Source organism: Homo sapiens, chromosome 11, assembly GCF_000001405.40.
Source record: "Homo sapiens chromosome 11, GRCh38.p14 Primary Assembly".
NCBI lineage: Eukaryota > Metazoa > Chordata > Mammalia > Primates > Hominidae > Homo > Homo sapiens.
Window position 1 is genome coordinate 32,849,555 of NC_000011.10, and position 16,662 is coordinate 32,866,216.

At 39.2% G+C, this 16,662-nt stretch overlaps 1 protein-coding gene across 3 annotated transcripts in view; it reads left to right on the top strand.

The window, feature by feature from the left end:
- PRRG4 (proline rich and Gla domain 4) overlaps positions 1 to 8,566 on the top strand; it is a 28,332-nt gene extending 19,766 nt beyond the window's left edge. For all 3 annotated transcript variants that reach the window (XM_006718314.4, NM_024081.6, XM_006718313.4), the window contains one exon: positions 3,742 to 8,566. In XM_006718314.4, coding sequence (XP_006718377.1) covers positions 3,742 to 3,973 — 232 coding nt within the window. In that variant the 3' untranslated portion in view covers positions 3,974 to 8,566. The remainder of the gene's footprint in view (positions 1 to 3,741) is intronic.
- Positions 8,567 to 16,662: the final 8,096 nt, after the last annotated feature.

Genomic DNA, 16,662 nt, shown 5'->3' on the forward strand with positions numbered 1-16,662 from the left:
TCAGGAGGCTGAGGCAGGAGAAACGCTTGAACCCAGGAGGCAGAGGTTGCAGTGAGCCCAGATTGCGCTTCTGTACTCCAGCCTGGGAGACAGAGCGAGACTCCGTCTCAATAAATAAAATAAAAATATAAAAAAATAAAGTAAAGGGACAGAAGGGAAAAGGACAAAGCCCCTGAAGGATGCCCACAATAAGGGTGCAGAAAGAAGAGGAGCTGCCAGCAAAGACAGAAGAGGAACATAAATGGTCATTCTAGCCCCATGCTGGAATTCTTGAAAAGTTCCCCAATGCATTATGTGAATTATGGGCATGAACTAAGGAGTTTGTCCCTATAAAGCCTATAAAAAATTTGAGAAGTTAGAGAAAGTAAGGAAGAATTTGTTTAGCAGACCTCTATTCATTTCCCCTATTTAGCAGACAGGAAATGAGCAAGGTCTTTCTAGGACTTTTCACTAAGATTTTATTCAGTGTGACTTTCTCCACAAGCTGGGAGTAATCCACAAGATAATGAAGAAATAGGCAAAATTTGTCTTTAGACATTCTTCTTTTCTTCTTTTTCACCTCATTCACAATGTTTTTCAAAAAAGTTCACGTATGTCCTCATATGCAATAGTTTCACTCAATGACTGTGAATAGCACAGTCATTATTTAGTGTCCTCGTGCTTACACTTTCTTCTCTCCCCTGCTTTTCTTCATTTTCCAACTTTTCTGCGTCACTATGTTTTTCACCTTTTACCTTTTTTTTCCCCTGAAACATTTCTAGCTTCTTCCCTGCATAAGGGATGGAGCAGAATTCGAGTGCAGGAAGTAAAGTGGCACTGTGATTATGACATGTCTTCCGGGTGTGTTATTATAAAATTTAAAACCCTGGATACCTTTTATTTTAAAAGTACGATTAGTTATACTTAACATTAGCACAGTGTAATGCTTCTTGTTCACAGATCATCTTTATATCCATTGTCTCACTTTGTTCCCCTCAGCAACTCTCTGAGTTTCAGAGGATATTCCAAACTTGGTTTACTAGACATTCTCTTATGTTAGCATTAACTGGTAAATACTTACTAAAGTACTTTTCATCTATTGTCCCAAGAAATTCTTCCAGCAGAGTTATTTGTTTCTATATTTTGCAAATCTGAAAGTAGGGGGAGGGACAAAGAAGCTGAGAAAGAAAAGAATAAAAAATAAGATCATCGTCAGAAAAGTTTGCCTCATTCATCTGTAAAAACAAGCCAAGAGGCTGGCAGCGGTGGCTCACGCCTGTAATCCCAGCACTTTGGGAGGCCGAAACAGGTGGATCACCTGAGGTCAGGAGTTCAAAACCACCCTGGCCAACATGGTGAAAACCAGTCTCTACTAAAAAAAATACAAAAATTAGCCGGGTGTGGTGGCGGGCACCTGTAATCTCATCTATTCAGGAGGCTGAGGCAAGAGAATCACTTGAACCTGGGAGGTGGAGGTTGCAGTGAGCTGAGATTGTGCCATTGCACTCCAATCTCGGCAACAGGAGTGAAATTCAGTCGCAAAAATAATAATAATAATAATAAGCCAAGAAATGAAAAGACCTTTTCATTTCTTAGTTCCTATATTTTGTGGAGGAAAACAGGCATCATAGGATGTTGCCAGTTTGAGATGTTATTAGTGCATACTTTCTGATTTCAGTCATGTAAGATTGTGATGTGTAAGAAAGCACTGTGTAGATATTTAATGACTGATGTAATTATTACATTGTTTCCATACATTAAATTTTGAAAGTCAACATGTAAAAATTTATTTATTCAAATAAAATATCTGTCTCCTCCTTTATCTTGTAAGCAAACAAATAGAACTTTTCATCATGAGCTAATGAATGTGGCAAGTGACTGCCTACCATGAATACATTCCAGATTTCTGACAGAGGAGGAATTGTGTTGAGCTCTCTAAGTAAACTTGTGATCCTCTCAGTCACCTCTCAACTATTGAAGGGCCAATTATCCAGTTCCTAGATTTACACAGACCTTTTGCTTTTCTTCTTTCTCGCAATTTTTCTCTCTCCTTCCCTTCCAATTCAGATCTCATTATTACCTCAAAAGGAAAAATGGTGCTCTAAGAGACATATTGACTGATTTAATTTGGAAAAGTTGGCAGTATTTTGGGCCTGCTAAACTATTTCTTGATGGGAAGAATATTGTAAATATTGACTAGAAGTTAGGGGTTATCTATGCATTTTTTTCCTTCTTCCTTTTTTTGTGGGTACATAGTAGGTATATATATTTATGGGGTACATGAGATGTTTTGATACAGGCATGCAATGTGAAATAAGCACATCATGGAGAATGGCTTATCCATCCCCTATGCATTTTAATTATTTCATTAGCCATAACTATAGGAGGTTAATGTATGTATAGATACTTTATAAATAGCCTAAATAGATTGATTTATTAATGTCTAAATCATAATTTGTACTTCACAAGTGAGAAAGGAAAACCATAGGTTTAAGACCCCAGGCCCATGTTGCATTTCATTGGCTGACAAGGTTTAGTGAAAATGGTGAGACTTGAACTAAGCCATATATTTTTTTTTAAGTGTTAGGCTTAGATTAGAGCTGAGGGGAGAAAAGATGATATTTGGAGAAAGGGAACGATACTAGTGAAAGCACAGAGAAGGGCTGAGAACTTACTGCCCATGCAGGGGAGTGTAAAGAAGCTGCCTTGGTAGAGCAGAGAGCTGTAAAAAATAAGGTGTGGCTGCAGTAAGAGAGGCTTTGAAGAGAAGGCACGGGACTTAGAACTTGACTCAGCTGGAAGTATGCTGCGGGTTTGGCTTCTGAGGAGAAGAATGACGTGAAGAAAGTACTGCTTAGGAAGGATTGGCCAGGCAGCAGGACTGCAGGAGGGAATGGAGGAGAGAGACAGGCATCAGCCTATTGTGATTACCTCTGTGACATCTATTTCCTTGGTCTGGAATTGCGCCACCTTTCAACAAAGCCTGAATTTGGTTTTGGTTTCACATCATACTTTCAAAAAGTTTTAATCCAGGAGTAAGAGAAAAGGGAATTCACTTGTTTTGAGTCCTTTTTCTAGTGCACCAGACACTGCTAGAAGCTTTCCATGCATCTTGCTCAATCCACACAAACCAACTCTGTGGAGACAGCTGATACTAGACCCATTATAGAGAGGAGAAAATTGAGGTCGGTAACTTGCCTTTGGTCACATAGTTAGGAAATGACAGGATCAGATTTCTCTTTTTTTTTTTTTTTTTTTAGATGGAGTCTCTCTCTGTCCCCCGAGGCTGGGGTGCAGTGGCGTGATCTCAGCTCACTGCAACCTCTGCTCCTGGGTTCACGCCATTCTCCTGCCTTAGCCTCCCGAGTAGCTGAGACTACAGGCACCCGCCACCATGCCCGGCTAATTTTTTTTTTTTTTTTTTTTTTGTATTTTTAGTAGAGACAGGGTTTCACCATGTTAGCCAGGATGGTCTTGATCTCCTGACCTCATGATCCGCCCGCCTCAGCCTCCCAAAGTGCTGGGATTACAGGCGTGAGCCACCACGCCCGGCCCAGGATCAGATTTCAAACCCATGTCTGACTCAAAGCTCTTGGTCTTTCCACTGTACCAAGACTTTCAGAGTCTGGGGGTAAAATAAAACTGTTATATTAATACATTGTGTTTAATGTTTATTAAGATAGTTGGTTGGATTTTTAAATATTGTCCTCTCAACCTAAAAATGCTACCTTTCCTAGACCTAAATGTTGTCTCTCTGCTTAGCTCTTCAGCCGTCTATGAAAGGGGGAGGCACACTCCCTCCATCATTTTCAGAAGACCTGAGGAGGCTGCCTTGTCTCCATTGCCGCCTTCTGTGGAGGATGCAGGATTACCTTCTTATGAACAGGCAGTGGCGCTGACCAGAAAACACAGTGTTTCACCACCACCACCATATCCTGGGCACACAAAAGGATTTAGGGTATTTAAAAAATCTATGTCTCTCCCATCTCACTGACTACCTTGTCATTTTGGTATAAGAAATTTGTGTTATTTGATAGGCCGGGCATGGTGGCTCATGCCTGTAATCCCAGCACTTTGGGAGGCCAGGAGTTCGAGACCAGCCTGGCCAACATGGTGAAACCCGGTCTCTACTAAAAATTCAAAAATTACCTAGGCGTCATGGGGCATGCCTGTAGTCCCACCTACTTGGGAGGCTGAAGCAGGAGAATTGCTCGAACCTGGGAGGCAGAGGTTGCAGTAAGCTGAGATCACGCCACTGCATTCCAGCCTGGGCGACAGAGCAAGACTCCATCTCAAAAATAAAATAAAAAAAGAAAGAAAGAAAAGAAGAAGAAAAGAGAAGAAGGAGAAGGAGATGAAGGAGGAGGAGGAGGAGAAGGAGAAGAAGAAGAAGAAGAAGACCACAAAAGACATGACTATCCAACTTTTTATGACAAACTGCAAGGAATAAAGGAAGAATAAGTCCATGTACTGTACCACAGAAGTTCTGTCTGCATCTTGGACCTGAACTTGATCATTATCAGCTTGATAAGAGACTTTTTGACTCTATATCCTTGCAGTTAAGAAGAAAGCACTTTTTTGTAATGTTTGTTTTAATGGTTCAAAAAAAATCTTTCTTATAAAGAGCATAGGTAGAATTAGTGAACTCTTTGGATCCTTTGTACAGATAAAGGTTATAGATTTCTTGTGTTGAATATTAAAAAAGCAAGGATGTCTAACCATTAAGATTATCCAAAGTCAGGCTGGGCGCAGTGGCTCACGCCTGTAATCCCAGCACTTTGGGAGGGATAGGTGGGCGGATCACCTGAGGTCAGGAGTTTGAGACCAGCCTGGCCAACATGGCAAAACCCCGTCTCTACAAAAATACAAAAGAAATTAGCCAGACATGATGGCGGGTGCCTCTAATCCCAGCTACTGGGGAGGCTGAGGTGGGAGAATCGCTTGAACTCGGGAGGTGGAGGTTGTAGTGAGGCGAGATTGTGCCATTGCACTCCAACCTGGGCGACAGAGTGAGACTCCATCTCAAAAAAAAAAAAAAAAAAAAAGATTATCCAAAAAGATATTGGACCTACTCTTTCTTAGGATTTTTTTGGCGGGGGGTTAGAAATACTTCACAGAATTTGACATTTCAGTATAAATCTGTGACCTTAATATAATCACTTGGTTTTATATGTTAAATTATTGCACAGCAGTCATCATATTTTGCAGAGTTTAGTTCTTAACTCTTGCTGTCAGTCATGTTTTATTATAGGTAGTGGGGTCAGTAGTTTTCTTCTTCTAAAAAATACTATTTGCTATGAAGTTAGTTCTTCAGAAGATACAAGTTTGCAATGAAAAGGATTTGCAAGGGTTGTTATGCTATCAAATAAACAGACCTAAAATCTAGGAGACACTAGAACTTAATGAAGTTGCCCCTGTTACTGATTAGTAAATACTCCCATCTTCGTTGCAAAATTATCTCTCTGTATAACTACATATGATTATTTTGAAATTTGTTAAACTTCATAAGTAATAGTTTGAGAATGTGGAAAAAGTAATTTGCTTTTCTGCTCTTAAAATAATATTGATTAATGTTACCAGAAACCTTTTGCATCTCTTAATATGTCTGAACACAAAAGGAAAACACCATAATCATATAAACCCATTCTTTGTCTCTTCTTCTAAATCATATGTATAACCAGTTTTTCCTTAAGAATGTAGCAGCATATAAGCTATAAATTTCTGGAGTATATGCACACAAATTTATCTGGGTGGGTATGTAGGTATATGTGAGTTTGTTTCCTCTTCCAGGAGCTCAAGAAATAACATACTCCTGAAAAATAGAATAGAAATTTCTGTGCTTTATGTTTTTGCCAGGCTATTACATTTTCTTATCATTTAGGATCACTTATAAAATGATCATTGTTTATTTTGTTTTATAATTTTTACAGGAGTGAGACTGCAAACCCACATGTTTGATAGTTCCTACCAAATTAAAAGTTTAGAAAGCATAAATCATATTACAGTGCATATGTGAGTGTATGTCTCTCTTTTAAGATGCATCATCTTAAGGCAGATAAAAGTAAGTCCTTAATCATTACAGACTGCCAAAGACTTTATCCTTTTAGATTCTCAGTCTCTTTGTTGCTTGTTGCAAATAAATCATCTAGCAACATTTACATTTAATTAGGAAATCTAACTTGCTTTTAAAAGTTACCCACGTTGCATATAAAAATCTTGCTATTCCTTGTGTCTTGGCTTTACATAAGCACTTTTGCTCATGTGACTTTGCACTTTGCACTTATTTTAATCCTCTTTAAAGGGCTACAGGCAAATTCTACTTTGCCATAATCACACTAAGGCATGGAAGAACAACTTGCCCAGAATCTAGCAGGTTGGTGACAACTGGGTTTAGAATGAGTGAGCACACTTTTCTAGTCCCATGTCATGCCTATAAAATTACACTGCCTCGAATTATGAAATTCAGGGATCTTGTACATAATTCTAAGTTTGGGACAGAAATTTACAAGCATTTCTCATATATACATACATTTATATATGTACATGTTACATATATTTAGATGTATTCTCATATACATATGAAAATATTTATGATGAATAGAATTATAAGATATGTATGTATCTTGCACTGAATCATAATTTGAAATATTTCATGAATTCATTTACTTCTATTGACTCCCAAAATTCTAACTGCAAGCTAGCTTCAGAACCTGTGAGAACCCCACCCCACCCAAGCAGCTGCCTAGATTTGTCTACTGCTATCATTTTGTGTAAAGCAGTTGCTCTAACTTGAATGAGTCTAGAATTCATCATTAAGATTGTGATATTTATAGAGCATCCAATGTGGAGATCATGATACTTTAAATATAAAAAGGAAAATATGATAGAACTGTTATTGACAAATGCTTATAATGATTGAAGGGAAAGTATCTCAACATTGTATCAGTCACATATATTTCTGTTGCTTTCACCATTTTCTATTCCTGTTGTAAGTTTGGTGGTAGATTTAGTTTTGTTTGGTTTATCTGTTTTGTTTGTGTTTTGTCTCCTGGCAATTGATTAGTGTTAATCATTAAATCTATTTTGACACAAGGTTTTATATATAATTAGATCAGTTTTCCACTTTATTACAATTAAGAAATGAGTAAAATATGGATATAAAAGGAGAATTGGATTGAAAAGACAAATACACATTTACAAGGTCATACCTTTGGTAGGACAGACAATTCCATATAGAATATTCTCTTTTGATAATGAAAAAAATTAAAGAGAGCACAAACTTTGACTATGTCAAAGTATTTTTATTTTTAATTTTTTGAGACAAGGTCTTGCTCTGCTACCCAGGCTGGAGTGCAGTGGTGCAATCACAACTCACTGTAGCCTGAACTTCGGGGCTCAAGCAATCCTCCCACCTCAGCCTCCTAAGTAGCTGGGACCACAGGTGCACCTCGGTACACCTGGCTAATTTTTGTGTTTTTTGTAGAGACAGGGTTTCACCATGTTGCCCATGCTGGTCTCTAACTCCTGAGCTCAAGGAATCCACCCACCTCGGCCTCCCAAAGTGCTGGGATTACAGGCATGAGCCACCACACTGGACTGCTGTGTCAAAGTTTTGCATCTTTTTTTTTTTTTTTTCCAGAAGGAGTCTCACTTTGTCACCCAGGCTGGAGTGCAGTGGAGTGATCATGGCTCACTGCAACCTCCGCCTCCCAGGTTCAAGGATTTCTCCTGCCTCAGCCTCCTGAGTAGCTGCATTACAGGCACCTGCCAGCACGCCTTGCAAATTTTTGTATTTTTAGTGGAGATGGGGTTTTGCCATGTTGGCCAGGCTGGTCTCAAACTCCTGACCTCAGGTGATCCGCCCGCCTCAGCCTCCCAAAGGGCTGGGATTACAGGCGTGAGCCACTGTGCCTGGCCCCAAGTTTTGCATCTTTTAATGCCCTCTGAACAAATACATAGAGAAAACTCTCAGAACAATTAAAACCTGCAGAGCAACAGTGTCCTCCATGTCTTAGGTTTCAAGTTTGCCTCTAAAATTCTAATCCATATTTTTCTACTTCTCAGATAATTTATGTGTGTGTACTCTTCCTAGACGTACAAGAGACTTTTTAATGCTAAATATTTGTCAGTGCTTAACAAAAACTCAATTTCACATTACTCATATTGTTTTTGTTTTAATTGAATGTGAATTAAATTTTTATTAGTTATTTGATTTGGAATGTTATGTATGCCATTAACACTATTAGGGGAATCTCTAGCATTTCTGTATTTTTAAAGAATTTGATTCTTTTGTAGATTCTGCCTGTGTGGTCATTTTAAAACATGTGTGACATATATCAGTACCTTCATTCTTCTATATTTTGTGTCTCCTCCAACCTCCAACTTTTTTTGTTTTTTGAAAAATGTTTCTCTAACACCTCAACAGTTTAAGGTAATTTAGTACACATATATCAGTATTTTTGTGATCTGAAAAAGCAACCCATTTTCTAAATTCATATTTTTCCTAAAACTTTACTATGTTTTTATTTTAAGAGGTTTCCTGTTATATACACTTTTTACACATGCAAATAAACTTTATACCAAGTGAGTATTTATTGCTTGTTTCATTTAAGCATTCTTCCTCATATAATGGCATATAATGAAATATGATATTATATTAATTAAATTTGAACAACACATTGAGTGTTTTCAAAACAATATTTATAGCATGATGTCAATGTATATCTTTCACCCAATGGGGCTAGCATTCTATTTAGACAATTTAGTTGCAGTTGTGAAAGTGGTATTTTCTTTAACAAAATTTAAATATTTAATATAGTGTTTGAGGCAAATATATTACTCCTTAATACTAAAGTTATTTTTTGAGCTATATCTATACATAATTGAAAAAATCAGTAGTAATGTTATGCTAAATTATAAGAGTAATATAGCAAGACTTCCAGCTTAAAAGAAGTAATACGAAGTATCATACACATAAGTGAACATTGATTATTATTCAGTATTATTTAATGTTAAACATTTAGACCACCTTAAATTTTTTTGGATCCAAATGAGTTAGACATGAATGTTAATATTTATACTCCTTAAAATTACTTTTATCAAGAGAATGAGAAGACAAGCTACAGACCAGGAGAAGATATTTGCAAAAGACATGTATGATAAAATGTGTCCAAAAATAAACAAAGACCTCTTACAACTCGACAACAAGAAAACAAACAAGTCAATTTAAAAATGGGCAAAAGACTAAGACACTTCACCAAAGAAGATATGCAGATGGCAAGAAAGCATATGAAATGATGTTTGACATCATAGGTTATTAGGGGATTACAAATGAAAGCAACAGTGAGATGTCACTACACACCTATTAATATGCCCCAAATCTAAAACACTACCACCACAAAACATCCTGCTGGTGAGGATGTGGAACAACAGGAACTCTTGTTCATTGCTGGTGGGAATGCAAAATGGTATAGCCACTTTGGAAGACAGTGGTAGTTTCTTACAAAATTAAACATACTCTTACCATATCATCCAGCAATCATGCTCCTTACTATTTACCCAATAGAGTTGGAAACTCAGGCCCACACAAAAACCTGCACACAGGTGTTTGTAAGCAGTTTTGTTCATAATTGCCAAAACTTGGAAGCAACCAAGATGTTCTTAAGTAGGTGAATGGATAAATAAACTGTGGCACATCCAGACAATGGAATGAGAAAGACTTTCTAATTCTTTTTTAGAGACAGGGTTTCACTCTGTTGCCCAGGCTGGAGTGCAGTGGTGCAATCATAGCTCACTGCAGCTCACTGCAGCCTCAAACTCCTGGGCTTACATTATCTGCTCACCTCAGCCTCTGGAGTTTCTGGGTTTACAGGCTCTAGGAGTATGACTTTTTAAGATTCCACATATAAGTAAGATAATATGATATTTGTCTTTCTAGGCAATGCGAGTTAGCATGTATTGAACACTATACTAGTTTTCTATTGCTTCATAACAAAATACCACAAATTAGCAGCTTCAAACAACACACATCCCACAGTTTCTATCAGTCAGAGTCCAGGCACAGCTTAGCAGAGTCCTCTACTTAAGCTTTGACAGGGTTGGAATCAAGGTGTTGGCCAGGGTTGGAGTCAAGGTGTTTTCATCTGGAGGCTTTACTATAGAAAACTCCACTGTGAAGTCTCTCTTGAATTATTAGCAGAATTCATTCTGATGCATCTGTAAGACTGAAACCCTTTATGGGCAGGAGACAATAAGGCAACCATAGCTCCAGAAGCTGCCTGCTGTTCCTAGAACCTACCTGTAGTTCCTTGCCACATCAGCTTCCTCCTCATGGCCCTCACTCTGTCAAGCCAGCAAAGAGACCTCTAGAGTGTGCCTGCTATAAAATGAGGCCTTATATAATATAACATCTTCACAAGAGTGACATCTCATCACCTTCTATTGGTTAGAAAGAAGTCATGGGTTTTATTAACTCATCAGGAGAAGATTCTACAAAGGAGTAAATACCAGAAGTGAGCAAGCCTTGAGAATCACTTTAGGTTCTGTCCACCAAAGGCCCTATCATGTGCCAGTTTCTAGGCCTTCATGTGCCTTCCATATGATCTTTCCTTTCATATAAGCATATTTAAAAAGTCTTTCAGGCTGGGCATGGTGGCTCATGCCTGTAATCCCAGCACTTTGGGAGGCTGCGGTGGTTGGACCACCTGAGGTCAGGAGTTGGAGACCAACCTGGCCAACATGGTGAAATCCCATCTCTACTAAAAATACAAAAATTAGCCAGGCATGGTGGCATAAGCCTGTGATCCCAGCTACTTGGGAGGCTGAGGCAGGAGAATCACTTGAACCTGGGAGGCAGAGGTTGCAGTGAGCCAAGATTGGGCCACCACACTCCAGCCTGGGTGACAAAGCAAGACCTTGTCTCAAAAAATAAATAAATAAATAAAAAGTCTTTCAATTGTAAAGTCATATAAATATCATATAACAACTAATGCTAATATCTTATTGTTTCTTGAAAACCTTGTAATGTCTCACTATTTACTAATTTTACCTGTTCATTTTTCTACAATTCCTAGCATTAAATAGCCATAAACTGATTAAAGTGCTTATATCAGAGACAATAAATTGAGAGCAGCTTGGGAAACTGGTCCTACTCCTTAGCTGACCAAGGCAGATTCACCCAGATGGAAAGGAGCTGAAGAAGATCAGATCAAACCCACAGTCCTAGCATATCCCTGAATGTCTTCTTTACCCCACATTTGATTTATAACATGGCTGTGTATCGTGTTCTAGGTTAATAATCATTTCCCTTGGCATTTTGTAGATATTCCTCTAATGTCTTCTAGCATTTGATTGCAATCAAGAATTCTAACAATAATTCTGATTTCATGACTTTGCACATGACCCTTTATTTCCCACTGGAACCTTTCAAATCTTTTCATCCCTGGTGATCTCAAATTCATGAGTCTGTCCAGGCATGGTGCCTCATACTTCTAATTCCAACACTTTAGGAGGCTTGAGCCCACGAGTTTGAGACCAGCCTAGGCAACATAGTGAGACCTTGTCTCTACAAAAAATTTTTTTAAAAATTAGCTTGATGGTACAAACTCCATACTACTCTGGAGGCTGAGGTGGGAGAATCACCTGAGCTTGGGAGGTTGAGGCTGCAGTGAATTGTGATTGGGTCACTACACTCCAGCCTGAGCAAGAGAGCAAGACATTGTCTCAAAAAAAAAAAAAAAATAGCTGGGTGCGATGGCTCATGCCTGTAATCCCAGCACTTCGGGAGGCTGAGGCAGGCAGATCTCTTGAGCTCAAAGTTCAAGATCAGCCTGGGCAACATAGTGAAACAACATCTCCACCAAAAATACAAAAAAAAATTAGCCAGGCGTGATGGTGCCTGCCTGTGGTCCCAGCTACTCGGGAGGCTGAGGCAGAAGGGTCAACCGAGCCTGGAAGGTGGAGGTTGCAGTGAGCCGAGGTTGCAGTGAGCCAAGATTGCACCATTACATTCAAGCCTGGGTGACGGAGTGAGACCCTGACTCAAAAAAAAAAAAAAATTATGATTCTGAGGCTTGGGATAAGTTTTCATTTATTGTTCATGGCATCCAATACCTCCTTTTATTCTAGAGATCTGTGCCCTCCAATTCTAGGAAATACTCCTGTGTAATTTTTTGCTAGTTTCCTTACCTTTGTTTTCTCTGCTTTTTCTGCGATTCATATTGGCTGAATATTGTACTTCCTTGATTGATCCACTATTTTCCATTTCCTTCTCTGTTCTACTTTCAGCATAAGTGTAACTGAACCCAGGTTCAACGGCTTGCTGCTAGAAAGCCAGACACAAGAGACAAGGGTTGATGGGAGGAAACCAGGTTCATTCAGAAAACCAGCAAAATTGACAAGATGGTGAACTGTATGCTAAAGCACCATCTTAAATTTTCAGGTTGGCTGGAGAGTTTTTATGGGAGGGGAATAAAGCGAAGAGGAGGGGGTTGGGATCAAGAGGTGACCGAGGACTGCAGATATCTGGGCACCAGCAAGGGTCAGAGGAGGTTGGAAACTTCTTTGCCCTTGGTCAGTTCACAATGCTCCTGTAAATCTTTAACAAAACATAGTTAGTTGTTTAGATACTTACCCTTTAATCCCAGACTTAGTTGTAAAAATTACATGATTACTGTTTTTGCATATTATTTCAGTGCTCTAAAATTAGCTGGAATGGTGGAAGGCCACTTAAACAAAAATTGAGTTAGTTATGTTAGTTCTTTGCTATTTCACTGTTACAATTCCCCACTGTGAAAGGCTCATTCCACAGTCTTGTGGAATTAGGGACAATGGGATGTTGTCTCTCATCTGGCTACTCCCTGTTGAACAAGGTTCATGTGGGGCAACTGTGAAACCAAACCATTTGACCTGGTAGCAAGCTGACGTTCAGGTCCTTGTTCCTTTCAGGTTTTTAGGAGGACCTGATCTCCCAGTTGAGAAGGATGGAGGGCCATGTTTGTGGAATAAGTGATCCTGCTAGAAGCAAACTCATGAATAGAATTTAGTATAGTGCCTAGAGTCTTAACATATTTGGCAATTGCTAAATTATTTATTTCGAGTTTGGTTCATTTTTTTTTTAGTTTTTCCCATTGATCATGGTCTCCAAGATGACAATCTAAAGGTTGAAGGAAGGAGCAAGTCATAGATTTCCCTGACATTTTCATAACCATCATAGTCTTCTGTGAATCAGGGCATAGATAGGTACTAGCTATAGAATATGTGGCCCTCATATCCGTAAGTAAATAAACCTGTTCCTCACTCTCAATTGTAACCAGGGCCCCTGTGGGGATATTGACAGGTTGGCTAAATATACATATTTAGCAGGTTACAGAAGGAACTATAAATATTTATGAAGGTGGTCCTGACACATGCATATTGAACAAACATATATGTAACATATGACCCATGTTTTCCTTGGAGTGGAGACTTAACTCTTGCCTGGCATGGCCTTAGGTCCTATTTATACTTTGGTATCTTATTGCCACAAAGAGTTTATGTTTTAATGTTAACTCTGGTCAGTTGCTGTGTCTAAACCATAAAAGGAAAAGGGTATAATGAAGTGTGTCTGACCTCCTGTCCTCTCATGGCTGGGAACTATGTTTTTTTTTTTAAGTTTTTTTTCTTGGGGGTTCACTTGGTCAAGGGGGATCCATTCGATTGGTGGGGTGCTTAGGACTTCATTTTTTAGTTTAAATTTCTGTTTTTTGATCAAGATATGCCAGAGGCAGCATCAATGGCTAAACTTTTATTTTGTCCCATATTGTTGCCAGGATGGTGTGGCTACCTGACCCAGGTCCATCATGTCCCTTGGTGGGATCCCTATGGCCAAGGGACTTAGAGTAAAAAAACTTATAGCTAATTAATCATTCTAAGCCAGATGGGAATGGAAGTGAGTAGACACTTAACCCTTAAAACCCTTTTAAGTAACAAAAGAGCCAAAAACCAAAAACCAAAAGGCAAGGTTACAAAATTGACTTATGTAAAAGCTTTACATGTTGAAAGAATTAGCAATGTTTATTTGATTTTGAGGACATTTGTCAAAGATGTAAAAAGCCTCAAAATATTTGATAAAAACAGAATAGTTATTCATTTAATCAAGAGTGACAGTCAAAATACTTCAAGAGCAATACAGAAAGTGACATGAAGATACAAATTTTAACCATTTTATTTATTTTTATTTTTTTGAGATAGGGTCTCACTCTTGCCCAGGCTGGTATACAGTGGCACGATCTCGGCTCACTGCAACTTCTGCCCCCCAGCCTCAAGCAATCCTCCCACCTCAGGCTCCCCTGAGTAGCTGGGACCACAGGCGTACACCACCACACCCAGCTATTTTTTTAATATTTTTTTGTAGAGACAGGGTTTCACCATGTTGCCCAGGCTAGTCTCAAACTCCTGAGCTCAAGTGATCTGCCTGCCTTGGCCTCCCAAAGTGTTGGAATTCCAGGCATGAACCACTGTGATTGGCCTTAACTCTTTTAAAGCTCAAGTTTCCTAAGGAAGCAAAAAATTAATACAGACAATATAGGAATTATCTTTTTTATTTTATTTTTATTTTTTTGAGGCAGAGTCTTGCTCTGTCGCTCAGGCTGGAGTGCAGTGGCACTATCCCGGCTCACTGCAACCTCCACCTCCCAGGTTCAAAGGATTCTCCTGCCTCAGCCTCCCGAGTAGCTACAAGTACGCGCTACCACACCTGGCTAATTTTTATATTATTAGTAGAGACGGGGTTTTGCCATGTTGTCCAGGCTGGTCTCGAACTCCTGACCTCAAGTGATCTGCCCACACTGACCTCCCAAAGTGCTGGGATTACAGGCATGAGCCACCATGCCAGGCCAGGAATTATCTTAATAAAATGCAAAATCTTGTTTCTTAAGCCATTTGCCAGAAAGGCAAAGAGAAAACATTTGCAGTGTGATTGCTTCTCCTTATGAGAAGCCCATTTAGATAACCTAGAAATCAAACCTGAAGAATAGAGTACCTGAACTTAATCAGACACAGGAAGAGTGTTTTCAAAGTTATGAGTATAGCATAGCAAGGGAATACATGACTCTTAGTAATTGCATGAGAAGTTTCCTAATTACATTTAAAAATTTAGACATATCAAGAAAAGTCAAGAGTACAGAATCAAGCTATACTGGAGGAAAGCATTGCTTTTTCAGACCTTCAAGATACCACTTTTCAGCATCAGGCCACAACAACAGTTAGAACCAGAGGAAAAAAGTTACAGAAGCTGATAAAAAAGCAGAAGGAGAGATTTCTCATTTCAGGCCTTCTCAAGAGGAGAATAAGCTGAAAGCAGTGAGACACAACAAAAGCTGAACTTCTAAGATATGAATCTGAAAAGTTTTCAAAAGAAACAGTTTCAGAATTAAAAATCAAAATGTCTTATAATTTCACTAAGATTGGCCGGGCATGGTGGCTCATGCCTGTAATCACAACACTTTGGGAGGCCGAGGCAGGTGCATCACCTGAGGTCAGGAGTTCGAGACCAGCCTGGCCAACATAGTGAAACCCTGTCTCTTCTAAAAATACAAAAAATTAGCTGGGCTTGGTGGCAGGTGCCTGTAATTCCAGCTACTCAAGAGGCTGATGCAGGAGAATCACTTGAACCTGGGAGGCAGAGGTTGCAGTGAGCCAAGATGGCGCCATTGCACTCCAGCCTGGGCAACAAGAGCAAAACTCCGTCTCAAAAAAAAAAAAAAATCACTAAGATCAAATTAATACCTTAAGAAAATCTTATTTTAATATAGGGGACCAATATTAGAAGGACTATTATGAATAATTCTTTTTAAATTGTAGTCAACTTAGTCACATACAAAATTCCTTTTGTAAATCCCCCTTCACAAACCTTATCACAGCTTATACACAACACCCATGACTTGCTTGGACACTCTGATTTGTCCTACATTTTTTTCTTTTTTAAATAACCATATTACTTTAAGACAAATATTTACCATACAGGATCCTTTTTTATATACGATTATTTTTTTCTTTATAAACTTTTCTACCAAAAAAAAATTTTTTTTTTTTTGAGACGGAGTCTTGCTCTGTTGCCCAGCCTGGAGTGCAGTGGCGTGATGTCGGCTCACTGCAAGCTCCGCCTCCCGGGTTCACGCCATTCTCCTGCCTCAGCCTCCCGGGTAGCTGGGACTACAGGCGCCCGCCACCACGCCCAGCTAATTTTTTTGTATTTTTAGTGGAGACAGGGTTTCACCATCTTGGCCAGGCTGGTCTTACCGCTGGTAAGACGTAAGGCGGCTCACACCTGTAATCCCAGCACTTCGGGAGGCTGAGGTGGGTGGATCACCTGAGGTCAGGAGTTCGAGACCAGCCTGGCCAAAATGGTGAAACCCCATCTCTACTAAAAATATAAAAACTAGCTGGGTGTGGTGGTGGGCACCTGTAATCCCAGCTAATTGGGAAGCTGAGGCAGGAGAATTGCTTGAACCCAGGAGACGGAGGTTGCAGTGAGCTGACACGGTCCTACTGCATTCCAGCCTGGGCAACAGAGTGAGACTCTGTCTCAAATTAAAAAAAAAAGAAATGATGAAAAGGATGTTACCATTGACCCCACAGAAATAAAAATAATCATCAGAAACTACCATGAACACTTATATGCACACAAACTAGAAAACCTAGAAA